The sequence below is a fragment of the Homo sapiens genome, chromosome X (genome assembly GCF_000001405.40).
Source record: "Homo sapiens chromosome X, GRCh38.p14 Primary Assembly".
Taxonomy (NCBI): Eukaryota; Metazoa; Chordata; class Mammalia; order Primates; family Hominidae; genus Homo; species Homo sapiens.
The window spans coordinates 150667895-150688889 of NC_000023.11; the positions used below are offsets into that span (position 1 = coordinate 150667895).

Genomic DNA, 20995 nt, shown 5'->3' on the forward strand with positions numbered 1-20995 from the left:
AGGACAGCGACCCACAGCCTGTGAATGTGACCATATTTGGGAAAAGGATCTTTGCAGTTGTGATTAAGTTTAGGATCTCAAGATGAGATCATTCTAGATTTAGGGTGGGTGGGCCCTAAATCCAATGACAGATGTCCTCCTAAGAGAAAGGAGGGGAAGATTTGAGACCCAGACATAGAGGAGAGAAGGCCATGTGAAAACAGGCAGAGATTGCAGCGATGCTGCCATAAGCCAAGGAACACCTGGAGCCACTAGAAGCTGGAAGAGGTGAAAAAGAATTCTCCCCTAAAGCCTCCAGAGGGTGTATGGCCCTGCTGACACCCTAATTTGGGGCATCTGCCCTGCAGAACCATCAGAGAGTAAATTTCTGTTGTTTTAAAAGCCACGCAAGTTTGTGTTAAATTTTTTAGGGCAACCTCATGGCTCATGCTCCCTTCTCTAGGATACAGGTTCTAGAAAGTGTCTGCTTCTAATAGAGACCATTCTCCTGAACATTAAAAATTGGATCCAGGCCAGATACAGTGGCTCACATCTGCAATCTCTGCACTTTGGTAGGCTAAGGCAGGAGGATCACCTGAGCCCAGAAATTCGAGACCAGCCTAGGCAACATAGTGAGACCCCCTCCTCCATCTCTACAAAAAAAAAAAAAAAAATGTTTTAAGTAGCCAGGCATGGCAGTGCATGCTTGCAGTCCTAGCTACTTGGCCAGCTGAGGCAGGAGGATCGCCTGAGCCCAGGAGTTCGAGGTTACAGTGTTCAAGATTTTGCTGAGCTACGATTGCACTGCACTCCAGCCTGGCAACAAAGTGAGACCCTGTCTCTTTAAAAAAAAAACAGAAACGTAATACTAAACCGCAGCATTCTTCATCAGTGCATTGTCTTCACAGCTTCCTTGTTGGTGTGCACAGCTTCAGCAAATAGTTCAACACAGTAGAAAGCAGGATGGTTCTGGAAACCACTACATGTGGAAGGCACTTCTGTAGACGTTTGGCTTTTTTCTTTTTTTTTCTTTTCTTTCTTCTAAAAAAAAGGGTGGGGGGATACATGTGCAGAACGTGCAGGTTTGTTACATAGGTATACGTGTGCCATAGTGGTTTGCTGCACCTATTGATCCATCCTCTAAGTTCCCTCCCCTCACCCCCCACTCCCCAACAGGCCCTGGTGTGTGTGTTCCCCTCTCTGTGTCCATGTGTTCTCAATGTTCACCTCCCACTTATGAGTGAGAACATGCAGTGTTTGGTTTTCTGTTGCTGTGTTAGTTTGATGAGGATGATGGCTTCCAGCTGCATCCATGTCCCTGCAAAGGACATGATCTCATTCCTTTTTATGGCTGCATAGTATTCCATGGTGTATATGTACTGCATTTTCTTTATCCAGTCTATCACTGATGGGCATTTGGGTTGGTTCTATGTCTTTGCTATTGTAAATAGTGCTGCAGTAAACATGTGTGCATGTGTCTTTATAGTAGAATGATTTATATTCCTTTGAGTATAATGGGATTGCTGGGTCTAACGGTATGTCTGGTTCTAGATCCTTGAGGAATCGCCACACTGTCTTCCACAATGGTTGAACTAATTTACACTCCCACCAACAGTGTAAAAGTGTTCCTGTTTCTCCACAGCCTCGCCAGCATCTATCATTTCCTGACTTTTTAATAATCGCCATTCTGACTGGCATGAGATGGTATCTCACTGCGGTTTTGATTTGCATTTCTCTGATGATCAGTGATGATGAGCTTTTTTTCATATCTTTGTTGGCCGCATTGTGTGTCTTCTTTTGAGAAGTGTCTGTTCATATCCTTTGCCTACTTTCTGATGGGGTTGTTTATCTTTTATTTTTATAAATATGTTTAAGTTCCTTGTAAATTCTGAATATTAGACCTTTGTCAGATGAGTAGATTGCAAAAATTTTCTCTTATTCTATAGATTGCCTGTTCACTCTGATGCTAGTTTCTTTTGCTGTGCAGAAGCTCTTTAGTTTAATTAGATCCCATTTGTCAATTTTGGCTTTTGTTGCAATTGTTTTTGGTGTTTTTGTCATGAAGTCTTTCCCCATGCCTATGTCCTGAATGGTATTGCCTAGGTTTTCTTCTAGGGTTTTCATGGTTTTGGGTTTTACATTAAGGTCTTCATATATTGCTTAAGCTTTCTAGAAAGTGCTTGCCCCTGATCCCTTCAAAACATTAACTTTCTGGAGTACTGTTCTGTTGTATATCTTGACCTGGGTGTGATTACCTAAATGTATACGTATGTCAAGATTCACTGAGCTGAACATCTGAAGATTTTGCACTGTGTGTGGTTTATATCTCAGTACAAAACTTTTAAAACTTAACATGCTGGGAGAGTCACGTTATGCTCCAGCCTGACTTCTGCCTTTGTATCAACATCAATCCCTTGTTTACTCATCAAAGTAGTCACCATTGTAGCAAAACAGATGCTATTAACTCACTTCACTCACACAATGCCATGTGAGGGCTATGCTGTTTTGATTCCCATTTTACAGATAGGGAAATGGAGGCACACAGAAGGTGAGGGGGCAAACCCAGCATTCATACCCAAGGCGGAGCATTGCAGAGCCGCTATGGCTGTCAGCCATGTATTCAGATGGGCAATAAGCACATGAAAAGATGTTCTAGCAGAGCAATACAAACGAAAACTACCGTGACATACCATGTCACAGCCCTCAAATTGGAAAAAAGAATAATAATCGTATGCTCCCAAGTTCTAGTGAGAATGCAGAACAATGGGAACTGCCAGGTATCACCAGCAGGAGCCTCTCTGCAGGCAATTTGGCAGCATCTGGTGAGGTTGAAAAGACCATATTCTACTTCTCAGCAGTTCCACCCCTAGGAAAATTCCTTAGAGAAACACTCGCATATGTGCTTGAGGAGATGTGTACAAGGATACTCAGTACAGCATTGAACACACTACCGAGGAGCCCTGGAAATCACTGATTACCCATCAGCCTGGGAAGGGGTGGAGAAACTGGTTTATTCCTTCAATGCAACTTAACAAGGATGAAATTCAGAAAACATGTTGGGTCAAAATGTCAATTGATAAATACCAGATGGTACCAGTGATGTAAACTTTGATAAAACACAAAGTAATACTGTATTTTGTTGCTGGATACTCACAGGAAAAGTGTCACAAATCTGCACAAAAAGGAAGGTCACATGGCAACTTGAGAAGAGTTGTCCCTCAGAGTGAAAGAGGACAGTGGGTCTGGGACGGGCAACACGGGAGACTGGAGCTGTGTCTCGGCTGACACATTTTCAAAGATAGTGACACGTGTGAGGAAATGTGTACATTAGGTATTTCTTGGTGAACAAATACTTAGTACTTGGGTGTTTAGTACTCTGTGTTGTACTTTCCTGTATGTGTCAATGAGGCAGTAGTTAAGGAAAGTATGTATTATGGTAAACTTTGAGTAAAGGGCTTATTTACAAATCAGCAGTCACAGCAGATGGGTGGAACACGTGAGTTCTCATGACGTGCGTGGCATAAAGTGTAACTCAAGTCTCTGGTTCTCTCCAGCAGCCGAATCCAGTGGAGCAGCGTTACATGGAGCTCTTAGCCTTACGCGACGAATACATAAAGCGGCTTGAGGAACTGCAGCTCGCCAACTCTGCCAAGCTTTCTGATCCCCCAACTTCACCTTCCAGTCCTTCGCAAATGATGCCCCATGTGCAAACTCACTTCTGAGGGGGGACCCTGGCACCGCATTAGAGCTCGAAATAAAGGCGATAGCTGACTTTCATTTGGGGCATTTGTAAAAAGTAGATTAAAATATTTGCCTCCATGTAGAACTTGAACTAACATAATCTTAAACTCTTGAATATGTGCCTTCTAGAATACATATTACAAGAAAACTACAGGGTCCACACGGCAATCAGAAGAAAGGAGCTGAGATGAGGTTTTGGAAAACCCTGACACCTTTAAAAAGCAGTTTTTGAAAGACAAAATTTAGATTTAATTTACGTCTTGAGAAATACTATATATACAATATATATTTTGTGGGCTTAATTGAAACAACATTATTTTAAAATCAAAGGGGATATATGTTTGTGGAATGGATTTTCCTGAAGCTGCTTAACAGTTGCTTTGGATTCTCTAAGATGAATCCAAATGTGAAAGATGCATGTTACTGCCAAAACCAAATTGAGCTCAGCTTCCTAGGCATTACCCAAAAGCAAGGTGTTTAAGTAATTGCCAGCTTTTATACCATCATGAGTGGTGACTTAAGGAGAAATAGCTGTATAGATGAGTTTTTCATTATTTGGAAATTTAGGGGTAGAAAATGTTTTCCCCTAATTTTCCAGAGAAGCCTATTTTTATATTTTTAAAAAACTGACAGGGCCCAGTTAAATATGATTTGCATTTTTTAAATTTGCCAGTTTTATTTTCTAAATTCTTTCATGAGCTTGCCTAAAATTCGGAATGGTTTTCGGGTTGTGGCAAACCCCAAAGAGAGCACTGTCCAAGGATGTCGGGAGCATCCTGCTGCTTAGGGGAATGTTTTCGCAAATGTTGCTCTAGTCAGTCCAGCTCATCTGCCAAAATGTAGGGCTACCGTCTTGGATGCATGAGCTATTGCTAGAGCATCATCCTTAGAAATCAGTGCCCCAGATGTACATGTGTTGAGCGTATTCTTGAAAGTATTGTGTTTATGCATTTCAATTTCAATGGTGTTGGCTTCCCCTCCCCACCCCACGCGTGCATAAAAACTGGTTCTACAAATTTTTACTTGAAGTACCAGGCCGTTTGCTTTTTCAGGTTGTTTTGTTTTATAGTATTAAGTGAAATTTTAAATGCACAGTTCTATTTGCTATCTGAACTAATTCATTTATTAAGTATATTTGTAAAAGCTAAGGCTCGAGTTAAAACAATGAAGTGTTTTACAATGATTTGTAAAGGACTATTTATAACTAATATGGTTTTGTTTTCAATGAATTAAGAAAGATTAAATATATCTTTGTAAATTATTTTATGTCATAGTTTAATTGGTCTACCAAGTAAGACATCTCAAATACAGTAGTATAATGTATGAATTTTGTAAGTATAAGAAATTTTATTAGACATTCTCTTACTTTTTGTAAATGCTGTAAATATTTCATAAATTAACAAAGTGTCACTCCATAAAAAGAAAGCTAATACTAATAGCCTAAAAGATTTTGTGAAATTTCATGAAAACTTTTTAATGGCAATAATGACTAAAGACCTGCTGTAATAAATGTATTAACTGAAACCTAACACTGTTTTCAGGGCTGTGAGTGTGCATGTGTTGGAAATGTGCATGGTGGCCATCTGATTTCTTTGCCCGGGTCTGCTTCATGTACTTTTTATCTCACCGGCAACCTTGCAGGGCTCTCCCAAAATTTCAGCAAGATTGGGCATTTAAGTGTATTAAACAGTGCAGATTTTAAGAGTCACGACTGTCTATGAGGATGGCTTTTGCAAAAGTGAACGCGCAAAACTCCAGGCTCTGAATAGGGAACACAGCAGTTGATAGTAAGGGATGCGAAGATACTGGTTAAATAAGCCATAGTTGACGTCTCATTAGGTAAGAATTTTTAAAATTCTTCAAACAATATTGCCAGTTGGAGATTATGTCGTTTACATATGTACGTTCTAAGAATGCTGAATAGTTGTAGCAGTAAACTAAAATTGACCATTTTTTGGCAATCAGAATAGATCACGTGGAACAGAGCTTAAAGAAAAAAAATCAGAATAGGACTCTTAAATGACTAAGTGTATCTTTCATAACGATGAGTATTTGAAGTGCTTTGTGAAGTCCTTCCTCAGACATTGCCTCATTGAACCCTCACTAGGACCTTATGAGCTAGGGGGCATTCTGTTACCCCTATTTTTCGACTGAGGAGAATGCTGTTGTTGCAGGCGTTCACTGACATGCCCCACGTCCTACAGCACCACCACAAGTTTCATACTGGTGTTAGCCTGAAGTCTACATTTGAGTTCCCACTGAATGGCCTGAGCTCTGCCTTCTTCATTGAAATTGAAAGAACCTCTCTTCCTGGGACAACTCTTCAAATAATTCGGAATCATATACTTTTTAGTATAGGTTTTGTTTCTAAATATAGTCATAGCACTTTCTGACCTGTTTTTGATAATGCAGCAAAGCTTATCCTTTTGCTTTCTTGGAGGGAATAATATTCAAAAAGTCTCAGAATAAGCTGAGTAGTATCTTGTCACTTGCATAATGCAGCTCTATGGTGTCATTCAGACAACTCTTGTGGCATTTGGGTACATTAGGCAAAAGCAGGACTGTCTAAAAGGAAATTCTTAATGTGGGAATGTATTAAAGAGTGTATACAGCTGTTACTGGAGGATGCACCCACTGGTGGCCATTAAAGCAAAAGGGGACACCCGAGAGAAATGGGAAATGTATGCAGTGCGCACCCCACAAACAAGAATAATGGCATATTTGCAGAAAAGCGTTACATGGTTGAACTACATTTCAGTTGAATTTTTTAGGTTTACAGAACCACTACCAGTATGAAGCTAGAATACCAATATTTGAAGTAGTCTGACATGCCAAACTTCATTGGTAGATTTAAAGTTAAGGGGTTGTTATCAAGGTCTTCCTTCCATATTGAACATACTTGGAAGAGGAAAGGGTAGTAAAATGCAGTATTCTCACTTTCTTATGAGGCTTAGATTCAGACATGGATTAGTTCTTATTTGCAATTTCTCCTTTAAAATCGAAGGTGATAACATATTTTAAACACATAAAGTGGTTCAATGCTTAGACACGACCATTAAGCCTTAGCAGTTTGTTTCTCCGGCTTTTGAGAGCGCTGCTTATTCATTTACAGTGGTTCTGAAATTGTTTCACAGTGGCTTCCATGCAAATTATAAAAGTTGCTTACATTTTATGAACTCTGTATCACAAAGCTATATTAGAATCCTGGATGGGATGTGTGGAAACCAGGGTTCTCATCGGCACCAGCACTGACTTGTGGCCCTATTTCCTGAAGGAAAGATGTGAGTGAAGTCCTCCTAGCTCCCAGATGCTACAGATATGGAGAAGGCCTCAGCCTCCATCTGCTCAGTGAGGGTGTGGGCTGCACGTTCTCAAAGTTTCCTTACAACTGAAACACAGCCCTTCTCAGAAATGCATTTTTAATGACATTTCATGCAGAGATTCACCTTTTTAATTTTTTTAAAATTTATAACTGACACATTGTAATTGTACGTACTTATGAGGTAAAATGTGATGTTTCAATGTATGCATATAAGCCAGGCGCAGAAAAACAAACACTGTATGGCCTCACTTACATGTGGAATCTTAAAAAGTTGATCTCATAGTAATAGAGAATAGAATAGTTACCAGAGACTGAGGAGGGTAGTGGGAAAGAAGGTACCAGGAGAAGTTGGTCAATGGGTGCAAAGTTACAGTTGGAGAAGAGTAAGTTTTGGTGTTCTCAAAAATGCATTTTAATCACATGTGCATGTGAAATATTTATCACACAAGATGGCATTTGCCTCATGAGTTTCCTGTTTCTTCTGTAAGAAATCCTCACGAACTTAGTGACTTCTTAAGACACAAATGCATTATCTTAAAATTCTAGAGGCCAAAAGTCTGAAATGGGTCTCACGGTTAAAATCAAGATGTTGGCAAGGCTGTGTTCCTTCTGGTAGCTCAAGGGAAGAATTCTTCTCCTTGCTTTTTCCAGCTTCTCGTGGCCACCTGCATTCCTTGATGCCATGGCCTCTTCCTCCATCTCCAAAGCCAGCAGCAGAACATCTTCAAGTCTCTGACTCTCTTTTTGCCTCCCTCTTTGACTTTTAAGGACCTTTGTGATACATTGGGCCCATCTGTATAGCCTAGAATAATCTACCCGTCTCAGGGTCAGCTAATTGGCAACCTTAATTCCTTCTTGTCTTGTAACATATTCACGGGTTCTGGGGATTGGGCTGTGGGCAACTTGTGTGTGGGGGTGCATTATGGTGCCTACCACACCTCAGTTCCTTTAGCTTTGGATGGTCAGAGAGTATGCAAGGTGAGAAATCAGACACTGCTAGGCTTTCCTATTACAAGCTATGCAATTATAATTAGGTAAATGACTAGTTCATTTCCTTATATCTCAGACAAAATTTACACTTACAGTTGCCTTCAGTTTTATTCTCTATTTCTATTGTTGCTTCTATCCAAAGCCCCAGACCATGTACTTCAACTCCCTTGGTCTCTAAATGGAAGAAAGGGAGCTATTAATTTGGGCCATATGTGCCAAACACTGTACTATTTAGCCTCCCCATAACCTTATAAAATTGATCATAATTTTTTGGTCATTTTACAAATGAGAGAGGCTCAGAGCCAGAAGTATTTTTTATTTAAAGTAAGATCACTTCAACAAATATTTTCTATTATAACACAGACCCGTGCCAGCTGTCGAAATACAAATAAATAAAACAGTAGGCTCCTTCAAGGAGCATCTGGCTTAGTGGGAAGACAATCCAGTTAACCAGTAATTTCCAAGCAGGGTGCTGCCTGCAAGGATAGAGACAGATGGTGGACTTCTGGGCCAGTATAGGGAACTAGGGAGGAACTTCTTGGCAATATTGTCAGAACTGAGCCTTGGAAGCTAAGTAGACATGCAAGGCTGGTTTAACATATAAATCAATGTAATATACCACATTAACACAATGAAAGATAAAAACCATAAAATCATCTCAATTGATGTGGAAAACCATTTCACAAAGTTTAGCATCCTTTCTTTTATGATAAAAACTCTTGATAGTTTATATTTAAAAAGTTTATCAACATAATAAAAGCCATTTATGAAAAACCCACAGCTAACGTAGTCAATGGGGAACAATTAAAGGCTTTTCCCCTAAGATCCAGTACAAGGCAAAGAAGCTCACTCTTGCCACTTCTATTCAACGTAGTACACAGTGCCAGGTGCAGTGGCTCATGCCTGTAATCCCAACACTTTGGGAGACCGAGGCAAGGAGATCACTTGAGGCTAGGAGTTGGAGACCAACCTGGGCAATATAGCAAGATCCTGTCTCTACTTAAAAAAAAGCCAGGTATGGTGGTGTGTACCTGTAGCTCCAGCTACTCAGGAGGCTGAGGCAGGAATTTGAGGCTGAGCCCAGGAATTTGCTTGAGCCCAGGAATTTGAGGCTGCAGTGAGCTATGATTGCACCACTGCATTACAGCTTGAATGACAGAGCAATTTCAGAGACTGCACCCTGTCTCTGAAAACAAAAACAAAACATAGTATTGGAAGAACTGGCAAGAGCAATCAGACAAGAAAACTAAAAGGCATACAAATCAGAAAGTAAGTAAAATTATCTCTGTTTTTATTTTTCTTTGAGGCAGGGTCTCACTTTGTCACCTAGACTGGAGTGCAGCAGCGTAATCATAGCACACTGCAGCCTTGGCCTCCTGGGCACAAACAATCCTCCTGCCTCAGCCCCTCAAGTAGCTGGGACTACAGGCATGCACTACCAAGCCCAGCTATTTTTTTTTTGTATTTTTTGTAGAGACGGGGTTTCACTATGTTACCCATGCTGGTCTCAAACTCCTGAAGTGATCTGCCCACCTCAGCCTCACAAAGTGCTGGGATTACAGGCGTGAGCCACTGTGCCTGGCCCAAAATTATCTCTATTTGGAGATGACATGATCCTATATGTAGGAAACCCAAAAGACTCCACACACAAAAAAGCTGTTAGAACTAGTAGATGAATTCAGTGAAGTTTCAGGATAGAAAAATCAATGTACAAAAACCGGTTGCATTTCTGTACACAAATAACAACCTATCCAAAAAAGAGATCAAGGGAACAATCCCATTTACAATGGCATCAAAAAGAATAGAATGCTTAGGAATAGAATGCTTAGAAATTTTGCCAGGAGGGTGAAAGCTCTGAACACTGAAAACTGTAAAACTCTAATAATAAGAAATTGAAGAAGACACAAATAAATGGAAAGATATCCCATGCTAATGGATTGAAAGAATTAATATTATTAAAAAGGGTCATACTACCCAAGGCAATATACAGATTCAACACCATCCCTAGCATAATGGAATACTACACGCCCAGGATAAATGATCAAACCACAGCTACATGCAACACAGTTGAATCTCATAAGCATGTTAACTAAAAGATGCCAGGTACAAAAGAATATAAAGTAGCTCCCCCTTATCCATGGGGGATATGTTCCAACACCCCGAATGGATGCTTGAAACCACAGATAGTACCAAACCCTATATATACTATGTTTCTTTCCTATATACACATAACTATGATAAAGTTTAATTTATAAATTAGACACAGTAAGAAATTAACAGTAGTTAATAACAAAATAGAACAATTATAACAATATGCTGTGATAAAAATTACATAACTGTGTTCTCTCCCTTTCTCTCCCACTCTTCCCCTCTTGAAATACTGTAATATTTTCAGACCATTGTTTATCATGGGTAACTGAAACCATGGAAAGAGAAACCTCAGGTAAGGGGGGAACCACTGTATACAATATTATTCCATTCATATAAGTTCAAAAACAAACTAAATTCATGTTTTGGGATGTATGTGTGGTAAAACAGCAAAGAAAAGCAAAGAAACCATCACCATAGAAGGGAACACTATGAGCAGAAGCAAATGGTGCATTAAGTAGGATGCAGCATTTGTGGAACTCAAAGCAAGCAGGTATTCCTGAGTCGTAATGTGAACGGGCCTGGCAAAAGATGACTGAGACGCAGGCAGGGGCAAGTCATGGAGTGCCTTGGGGGTCATGGGTGGGAGATGGATTTTAGGGTGGCAAGGCTGGGGACAGAAAGGCAAGTTTGAGGCTGATGTAGTTGACCAGATGGGGAGAACTGAGCCTGGAATAGAGACAAGTAGAGATGGAGATTGAAAAAAAAATTTTTTTTTAAGTTTGTGACTGAAAAAAAGAGACAAGAAAGAAGTCAAAGATGGTACTGAAGTTGCTGGTGGCTGCAATTGGTTGGCAAGTGGTATAATTTTCAGAAATAGAGGATATCAGGAGAGGATCGAGTCTAGAGCAATGCTGAGGCCAGTTTGGGATATGCTGAATGTGAGGAGAACAGGTGTCCAAGATGTGGTTAAGTTTAGCTCTGAAGCTCACAAAAGAAGTCGGAAACACAGATTTGGGGATAAAACTATGGAAGTAGATGACATTGCCCATGCAAGTAAATGGAGAAAAGTGGCACGCCCCAACTCCAGATTGTACGGGACAGACAGAGGAAGAGGAGACTTGGGATGAGATGGAGAAGGAAGGTCAGATAAGTGCAGAAGCAAACAGTTGCATCATGGAAGGTAAAAGAAGGATAATTTCAAGGAGTGAGTGCTTAGCATGGGAGATCTGGTGAATCAAGGATAAAAAAAAATGTCCAGTCAATTTGGAAAGTAAGACGTCCCTGGAGGACATTCGCAAGAGCTCTTTCATTGAGGCAGAAGTCAAAGAACAGCGAGTTAAAAGTCACCAGCCAGGATTCTAGCTCAAGCAGCTAAGGGGTGCAAAAGGCCGGAAGCGCACCCAGTTTGAGAAACTATTATTTTGGCACCAGGGTCTGCTTTAGCACCACTAAGCTGCAAAAAGATGCGATGGCCTGTGTTCTAGGTCCTAGGGCAAGGGCCGTGTAACAGTGAAGAGAAAAGAGAAACTGAAGAGGAATAGCCCCACCTCCTGCAGTCATTTATTCAACAAGTACCTGTGAGCCCTATCAGTTTAAATGCGACTTGATTATGGCACTCTTCCCCAGTGCCCCTCCCTTCAATACTATCTTAGGTCCCAGCGCTCTATGCTCCCTCAGGGCCTTATACCTCTCCTACTATTGCACTTGCCATACTTTGTTGAAATGAATGTCTTTCTTTTTCACTGCACTCTAAGCTGCCTTGTTTTTAGCTACAATGCCCAATAGGCTGCCTGGCACATGGTAGGTGCAAAATATATATATTTATTTGAATGCATGAATTAGTGAGTGAATGCACGAAGGGTACACAAGAGTGGGATTCTCTTTCTAGAGGGTTTGCTATAATGAAAGGTGAGAGTGGGGGGAGGGGGAGGATAGCATTAGGAGATATACCTAATGCTAAATGACGAGTTAATGGGTGCAGCACACCAACATGGCATATGTATACATACGTAACAAACCTGAACGTTGTGCACATGTACCCTAAAACTTAAAGTATAATAATAATAAAATTTAAAAATAAATAAATAATAAAAAAGATTGACAGTAAAAAAAAAAAAGAAAGAAAGGCGAGAGATTGGATAATAACTGTTGAGAAATGAGACAGACAGAATGGGCTTTTGAAAGGAAGAGACTTTCTTGGGATCATACATCGGGAAGAAGCCAGTGGCGAATGAGAGATTGCATAGAGAAGAGGGAGCTGTTACCTGATTGAACAAGGCCTCAGAGTGGGGAAGAGCCCAAGGACACAGAGGGGGATTTGCTTTGCACAACAGAAAGGACTCCTCTTCCTCAGCAACTAGAGAAGAGGAGGGTGGGTGCAGATGAAGAAACACTGATGGAGGGAATAATGGTTCCTCAAAGATGTCCATGTCCTAATCTCCAGAACCTGTGAATATGTGAGGTTACATAGCAAAGGGGAATTAAGGTAGCAGATAGAATTAAGGTTGTGATACTAGCTGACCCTTATATGAGGAGATCATCTGGATTATTGAGGTGAACCCAATGTCATTACAAGGCTCTTTAAAAGTGGAAGCTGGAGGTGGAAGAGACTTCAGAGTCATAGCCATGCCATGAGAGAAAGACGACTGGCCATGCTGGCTTTGAAGATGGAGCAAGGGGCCAGGAGCCAAGGACCGCGCAGCCTCTAGAAGCTGGAAAAGACAGGGAACAGATTTTTCTCTAAAGCCTCCAGAAGGAACACAGCCCTGCCCACACCTTGAGTTTAGCCCAGTGAGACCTGGGTTGGACTTTCATCCCCAGAAATAATAAATGATTAATATAATATTAATAATAATTAGTGAGATAATAAATGTATGTTGTTGAAGCCACTAAGCTTGGGTAATCTGTTACAGCAACCATAGGGTATGAACACAAGGGGGAATTTGAGGGAGTTCATGCCTGATTACCTCGACGTTCTTACACACTCCCACTATACCCACGATAGCAGAGGCCTGTAAGGAAAACTGTTTGGCCCAGAGCAGAGGAGAGGGAAGAAGATTCAAATGTCCCTGAGAAGTGGTGCTCACTAGCAGGCTTTCCAGTATAGTTCAAATTCACTTCACCTCAGTAGTTCAAAAATCCTCAGGCACCAGTCTTGTGGTGCCCCCAGGTGCCTGGTGGAAGCAAATGCTCTATGGAGGAACACACCTTTATCGCAGCCTCTAAGAATTCTCGCAAATCATTTTTCAAAGAAATTGAACATCTCTCAGTGAAAAATAGCAGACAGAAAGCCTTCAGCGAACATCAATAGAAACAAAAAAGCAGAAAACGACTTGTAAGACTTCAGATTATTCAAATTATCAGACACAAGCAGTCATTCTGCTGCAGTTGGCTTATATAGGTTGGTCAGAGACAACTGTGAGCATCTCTTCCTAATTCTGTATTCAGTGATGTCAAGGTGGTACTTTGAAATCGGCCAAGCTGGGAAGAGTTACACCACAGAAATGAGCAAATGCTACAAATAAAGGCTTTGTCTTTCTTCAGAGAGCTGATAATTAAAAATGTACTAGAACATTGCTGGAGGCAGATTATAAAAATGAATATGAAAATTATCTTTAAAGAAATAAAATCTAGGTGATCTTGACTTTGACAATGAGTGTTTAGATATAAAGCTCAAACACAATCTTTGAAAGAAAAAATTAACAAAATGGGCCACATTAAAATTTAAAACTTCTGTGAAAAATACTTAAGAGAATGACAAGACAAGTTGCAGATTGGGAAGAAATCTTTGCAAAACACATATTCGATAAGGACTGTTATCCAAAATATAAAAAGAACCCTTCAAACTCAACAATAAACACAACACAATTTAAAAATGGCCAAAAGACTAACAGACACCTCACCAAGGAAGATCTACAGATGGCAAATAAGCATATGACAACATGCTTCACATCGTATGTCATCAGGGAAATGCAAATTAAGACAGCAATGAGATACCACTACACACCTATTAGAATGGCCAAATCCAAAGCACCAACGACATGAAATACTGGTGAGAATGTGGAGCAACAGGGCCGGGCGCGGTGGCTCACGCCTGTAATCCCAGCACTTTGGGAGGCCGAGGCGGGCGGATCACGAGGTCAGGAGATCGAGACCATCCTGGCCAACACGGTGAAACCCCGTCTCTACTAAAAATACAAAAAAATTAGCCGGGCATGCTGGCGGGTGCCTGTGGTCCCAGCTACTCGGGAGGCTGAGGCAGGAGAATGGCGTGAACCCGGGAGGTGGAGCTTGCAGTGAGCCGAGATCGCACCACTGCACTCCAGCCTGGGCGACAGAGCAAGACTCCGTCTCAAAAAAAAAAAAAAAAAAAAAAAAAAAAAGAGAATGTGGAGCAACAGAAACTCCCATTCATTGCTGGTGGGAATGCAAAATGGCACGGACACTTTGGAAGACAGTTTAGTTTCTTACAAAGCTAGACATAGCCTTACCATATGACCCAGCAACCATGCTCCTTGGCATTTATCCAAATGAATTGAAAACTTATGTCTAGGCAAATCCTTCACACAAACGTTTCCAGCAGATGCCCCATGTTTGTCACTTAGTTGCCACAAGTTGGTAGCAGTGAAAATCTTCTTCAATAGGTGAATGGGTAAACAAAACTATGGTACATTCAGACAATGAAATGTTATTCAGCACTAAAAGGAAATGAGCCTATCAAGCCATTAAAACACATGGAGGAAACTTAAGTGCATATTGCTAAGTGAAAGAAGCCAATGTGAAAAGGCTATATACTGTATGATTCCAACTATGTGACATTCTGGAAAAGGCAAAACTGTAGAGACAGTAAAAAGGCCAGTGGTTGCCAGGGGTTCAGGGAGAGGGAGGGAGGAAAAGAGGGAGGGATGAGTATGTGGAGCACCGGGGATTTTTAGAGCACTGAAACCAGAAACCATTGTTTATGATACTATAATGGTGGATACATGCCATTACCATGTATTTGTCAAAACCCATAGAATGTACAACACAAAGAATGAACCCTAATGTAAACGGTGGACTTGAGTTAATAATAATGTGTCAATATTGGGTCATCAATTGTAACTTGTGTACCACACTAATGCAAGATGTTGATAATAAGGAAACTGGGACGGGGGGTGGGGCGTACTGTGAGAGGGTATATGGGAATTCTCTATAATTTCCACTCAATTTTTCCGAAACCTAAAACTACACAAAGAAAGGTCTATTAATTTTTTTAAAGGCACCCCAGGTAATTTTGTGCAGCTGGCCCAGTGCCAAGTGTTTAGAAATGACTATTTCAGGCAATACCTACATATTGGTCAAATTGCATCCTTAAATAGATGTCATTGAAAGAATTAATCACTGATTACAGAGTTAGCTCCTTTTGGAAAGGTGTGTTGTATTGATTGATACTCTGGACATAAATAGGCTTTAAATGTAGAGATTTCTTTCTTTGGCCCTACACCTGTAGAAGCACTGCCTGGTAGGATTTCGTAGGAGGAATTCAATCATCAAGTGGGATGTGGATTGGAAATAGGAAGACATTAGATTAGCGTTTCTTTCAACCCAGTAAGTCTGTGAGTGTCCACGCCACTTATCAATGCATTCTCAGCTCCAAAGGCATCCTCCTTTAACTGCTCTGTGATAATGGAGATGGGCTTTGTAAATATTTCTTACCAGCTGGCATAATGTAAATCCTTGTCAGTAGAGGGCGCTAGAGAGAGAGAGACCAGAGGAGAAAAAAGTTTTATCTTCCAGATTCTGGGGTGCCTCATCTTTTTGCCTCCTCCAGAGCACAGCTTGCTTTCTCTGTTGCTGGGCTCCTATGCACATGCTTTCTTTTGAGCTAGGCCCATGCATGTATCATCCCAAAGAAAACCACGTCAAAGCATTTAATAATCAAACGCCCAAAGATCAAACATTAAGAAAGAATCCTAAAAGCAGTAAGAGAATAGAAACAAATAACATACAGTGGAGCCCAAATAAGTCCAGCAGCAGACTCTTCAGTGCAAACCTTACAGGCCAGGAGAGTGTGGCATAGCGTATTTAAAGTGCTAAAGGAATACAACTTTAATGCTAGAATAGAATATCCAGCGAAAATATCCTTTAAGCATGAAGGAGAAATAAAGATCTTCCCAGACAAACAAAAGCTGAGCGATTTCATGAACACCAGACCTGTCCTATAAGAAATGCTAAAGGGAGTTCTTCAATCTGAGAGAAAAGGATATTAATGAGCAATAAGGGATTATCTAAAGGTACAAAACTCACTGGTAATAGCACAAAGAAAAACACAGAATATTATAAGACTGTGTGGTGTGTAAAACACTCAAGTAGAAAGACTAAACAATGAATAAATCAAAAATAATAACTGTAACTTTTCAAGACATAGGCAATACAATAAGGCAAAGGGAAACAATAGAAAGTTTAAAAACAGGCAGATAAAGTTAAAATGTAGAGTTTTTATTAGTTCTCTTTTTGCTTGTTTGTTTATTTGTTTATGCAATCAGTGCTAAGTTCTCATCAGCTTAAAATAATGGATTATCACATAGTATTTGCAAGCCTCATGGTAACCTCAAATGTAAAAATATACAACAAATACGCAAAATGTAAAAAAAGCAAGAAATTAAATCATACCACCAGAGAAAATCACCTTCACTTAAAGGAAAGAAGGAAGGAAGACAGGAAAGAAGGAAGAAAACACCACAAAACAAACAGCAAACAAATTACAAAATGACAAGAGTAGTCCTCACTTATCGATAATAACATTGAATGCAAATGGACTAAACTCTGTAATCAAAAGACATAGAGTGACTGAATGGATGAAAAAACAAGACCCTACAAGAAACTATTGCTTACAAGAAACACACTTCACCTATAAAGATACACAAAGATTGAAAATAAAGAATGGAAAATATAGTCCATGCTCCTGCTTCTCCAATGGACTCAAAATCTCATCCAAGAAAAGCATTTATCTTTCTCATCCCTAAACACATCTGCACACCTCTCCTAAGACCTGATGGTTACTGTCTATAAATTTCAGCCTCTAATTACATCAAGTCAATTACTATGCTATTTCAGACTTAGAGAAATGGATAATCCATATATAATATCTGATGTTTTAACTTATATTTGAATGTGAATATCTCTAGCGTTTGAAAAATCTCTAACATTCAAACAAGAGTGTTAAAACTCTGCGCTGAAGGCCTTACAAAGCAGTCCAGCTTTGGAGTCCAGGTCTCCTGCTGCCCAGTCCACCCTAGGGCTGCAAAGCATCACTGCCCAAGCCCAGACTGAGTTGACGGCTGTCTGCATAGGTGGCAAAGAGACTGTGTGTTTTTCTCCCCACTTTTGGTGAGCCCCATGTGGTGGTGCTCAGGATGAAAAGGATCCCCCTAACTCCAGCTGACATCTACTTGGCAAGCAGGGCAATGGAAGGCTTCAACATTGGTTCTCAAAGATGGAGCCTCATGTACACAGTCCTTACTTGGCAGTCATATGTTATGGTCCTGGCACACAACAATGGCAACAAGAACAATGGCAACAACAACAACAACAGTGGGTCTCGGTTTTGTTTTCATTTTATTGGTCCATGCAACTCAAAACCTGTGACTAGGTGGTCTGAACTCACTGTCTCTCTTTTTGCCCTCCCAGACATTTCTGTCCCTTGGGAGTGCTCTCAGCAGAGTCCACACCACCTCCTTGCAGTCAAATCCAGGGAACACTTCTTTGTCTTACCAGATGTCCCAGCAACACTTGACACTCTGGATCACTCTTTCCATCTTAGAACTCTTGACTTTCTTGGCTCCCATGCCCCCTCTGCCCTGACTCTTTGCTTGTCTCTGCCAACCCCCCGAGCTCTTCCCGGGCCGCTCTTCTTTCACCTGCCCTGTCAGTGCCAATGATCTAGTATGTCTCCTTGGCTCACTTGTCTTCTCATTTTACATGTTTTCCCCAGGCAAATTTACACATTCTCATCAGGGCCAACTTCATGGGTGTTTGGCCTGTGCACTCACACAGGGCCCCATGCTTAGAAAGGCCCCATTCCTGATTCAATGCTTTCCTATCACCATCTGGAAATTTGTAATACTTTTGAACAAGGTACCCTGCATTTTTCATTTTGCCCTGGGCCCTACACATTACACAGCTAGCCAGTTCTGCCTCTCGAGGTTTTACACCTTTAGGCTGAAATCTGTAGCCCGGCCTTTCTCCTGGGCACCAGACCCATCTACCCCGTCACTCCTGGACATGTTACAGGCTCTTCCACTTCAAATAGCTTCTCTTTCTTTTTTTATTCTTTATTTTTATTTTTTAATCTCAGGGACTGGCATCACTTTCCACCCAGGCACCCAAGGTCAAGATTGATTCTGAAGACAATGTTCTTCCTTTGACTTCATTGACAACCTCATCTCCTGGACCTCCTCCTATTTTGGACTCTTCTCCCTCCTTTGCAGACCACTATATCTCAGCTGCTTGCTTAAATGTGGCTGCCTTAAGGGAATTTATCTGGGAGAAATTTATGTGTTTACTGAGTGGGGCAAAAAGTGTGTCTCTGAAATATGCTTGCCAGGTTGAGGCAAGTGGAGTCTCTGGAGCTTTGAGAGTATGAGGTCTCTGGACCGCAGTCTCTGTGTGAAGGTGAGCTTGACACTGCATTGTAGAGCACCTGTCATAAGACTGAGGATACAGGAATCTCAACATCAAAGAATGGTGGAGATGATGGGGGTGGTGAAGGCAAAAGCCTCCCGAGGCATCCTTTAGCCTTGCCAATAATTGAACTTGTGGCTGAGAACCTTCCAGATAACTTCTAAAGGCAAAGTTAAGTCATCTGTGGTGCTTTTTCTGTAGTTTATTGTTTTAGTCCATTTTCTGTTGCTTACAACAGAAGACCTGAAACTAGATAATTTATAAAGAAAATAAATTTTTTCTTACAATTCTGGAGGCTGAGAAGTCATAGGTCAGGGGGCCGTATCTGGTGAGAGCCTTCTTCCTGGTGGGAACGCTGTTGCATCCCAAGGCAGTGCAGGGCCTCATATGGTGAGGAAGCTAGGCGTACTTGCTCAGGCCTCTCTTCCTCTTCTTGTAAAGCCACCAATTCCACTCCCATGATAATCCACTAACCCATTCATAAGGGCAGAAGCCCTGCTCTTTTGAGCTGACACTACAAACCCTCCAAATGATGGGAACATTTCTCTGCAGTGCAGTCACATGTAATTCCATTGAGGATTAGCTTTGCTCAGTCCTAGCAAAATTATGTTTTTGAGAAATTTATTTTACAAGGGACGATCAGGTCCACTTTCATTTGCTTAATTTGTTTTCAAGAAATGAAAGTGATGATCCCAACCGTAGTTTCCAAATCGTGAAGCTGAAGGTTAAATTACAAAGAGTTCCTCTGTCCTCAAATTTTACGAAAATTAGCCAACTTTTTATTACCTCTCTTTCCTGAGTTCCTTTCCAACTGTCTACTGGACATCTCCACTTGGATACCCATAGGTACCCCCCAAGACTGCTATGCATTGTTGCACAGGTTGTGAAGTGCACAAGGGGGCCACATCTAAGGGGGACTGCTATGGTCTGAATGTCCCCAGTATTCACTTGTTGAAATTTGATCCCCATGGTGGTGGTGTTAAGAGTTGGGGCCTGCTGGGAAGTGATTAAGTCATGAGGGCTTGTCCTCATGAATGAGATTCAGTGCCCTTATAAAAGGGCTTAACAGAAGGTGTTCACCCTTTTACCTTCTGCCATGTGAGGACACAGCGTTTCTCCTCTCTGAAGAATGTAGCAACAAAGGCATCATTTTGGAAGCAGAGAGACCAGGCCCAGACCAGCGAGAGGTTTGATGTTTCACATCCCAGCCTCCAGAACTTGTGAGAAATAAATATCTATTGTTATCTATTGTTTCTAAATTACCCAGTCTGTGGTATTTTGTTGTAGCAGCACAAACAGACTAAGACAGGGATCCTTCAGAATGAGGTCCACATAGATTTCTAGGTCTATTATGGCAGTCTCTTGGCATATGGCAGCCAAAGGTTGAGCTTTAACAAAATTGGTTATACTATGACAATTTTATGACTAACAGAAGTCCAGTGTTGTTAGGAAGGGTTTTCTTTTTTCTAATATACACAAAGGCAACTTATGGGCTTGGACTTAGGGTGGGTCAAGCTCAACATGTCTAGAATGAATTCATCCTGGTCACTGACCTCTCCCACCTGCTTGTCATCTTGGATTCCTTTTATCAGTGGCTAATATCTCCTTTACCCAGTTTTCCAAGTCTGAAACCTCAGTGCCAGGCTTGGCCCACGTTGGCATCTCCTTCCCTCCTCACTTCATGTCCAACATTCCATCAGTCACTGAGTCCTGTCCAATGTTAGGGTTCATGCATCAGGTCTTCCTTGATTATGACAACAACTTCTTAACTGACCTTCTCACGGCCACTCTTGCCCCTCCAGTCCATCCTCCATCATGCAATCCTAGTGATCTTTCTGGAGTGGAAATATGATCAGTTCACCCCTTTCCAAGATCTTGCTGTGGCTCCTTGTCACCTCTAACAGGGTTTCTCAAAGTGTGGTCCTCAAACCATGTATATCAGAATCACTTGAGGTGCTTTATCAAATGTGGATTCTTAGCACCCACCCTAGCTAACTACTAAATTTTCAGATTCTCTGTGGTGAAGCTCATGAATCTGCACATTAATTGATGTCCCAAGTCATTTTCATGCGTGTAATTTTGAAAACTACTACTTTCTACATAAACATGGCATAAACATGCATAAACATGTCACAAACATGCAGCATACTCATATACATTTCCCACTTCCCCAGCAGGAACTGCAGAGTGCAGCTGGGCATTCAAAGGAGG

General features: G+C 41.1%; 1 protein-coding gene across 15 annotated transcripts in view; it reads left to right on the forward strand.

Annotated features, from left to right (window-relative positions):
- MTM1 (myotubularin 1) overlaps positions 1 to 5249 on the forward strand; it is a 110491-nt gene extending 105242 nt beyond the window's left edge. For 11 of the 15 annotated variants that reach the window (XM_047442132.1, XM_011531172.2, XM_047442133.1 and 8 more), the window contains one exon: positions 3534 to 5249. In XM_047442132.1, the coding sequence (XP_047298088.1) occupies positions 3534 to 3701 (168 nt within the window). In that variant the 3' untranslated portion in view covers positions 3702 to 5249. The remainder of the gene's footprint in view (positions 1 to 3533) is intronic. The other 4 variants (NM_001376906.1, XM_047442137.1, XM_047442136.1 and 1 more) reach the window with 1 other exon arrangement.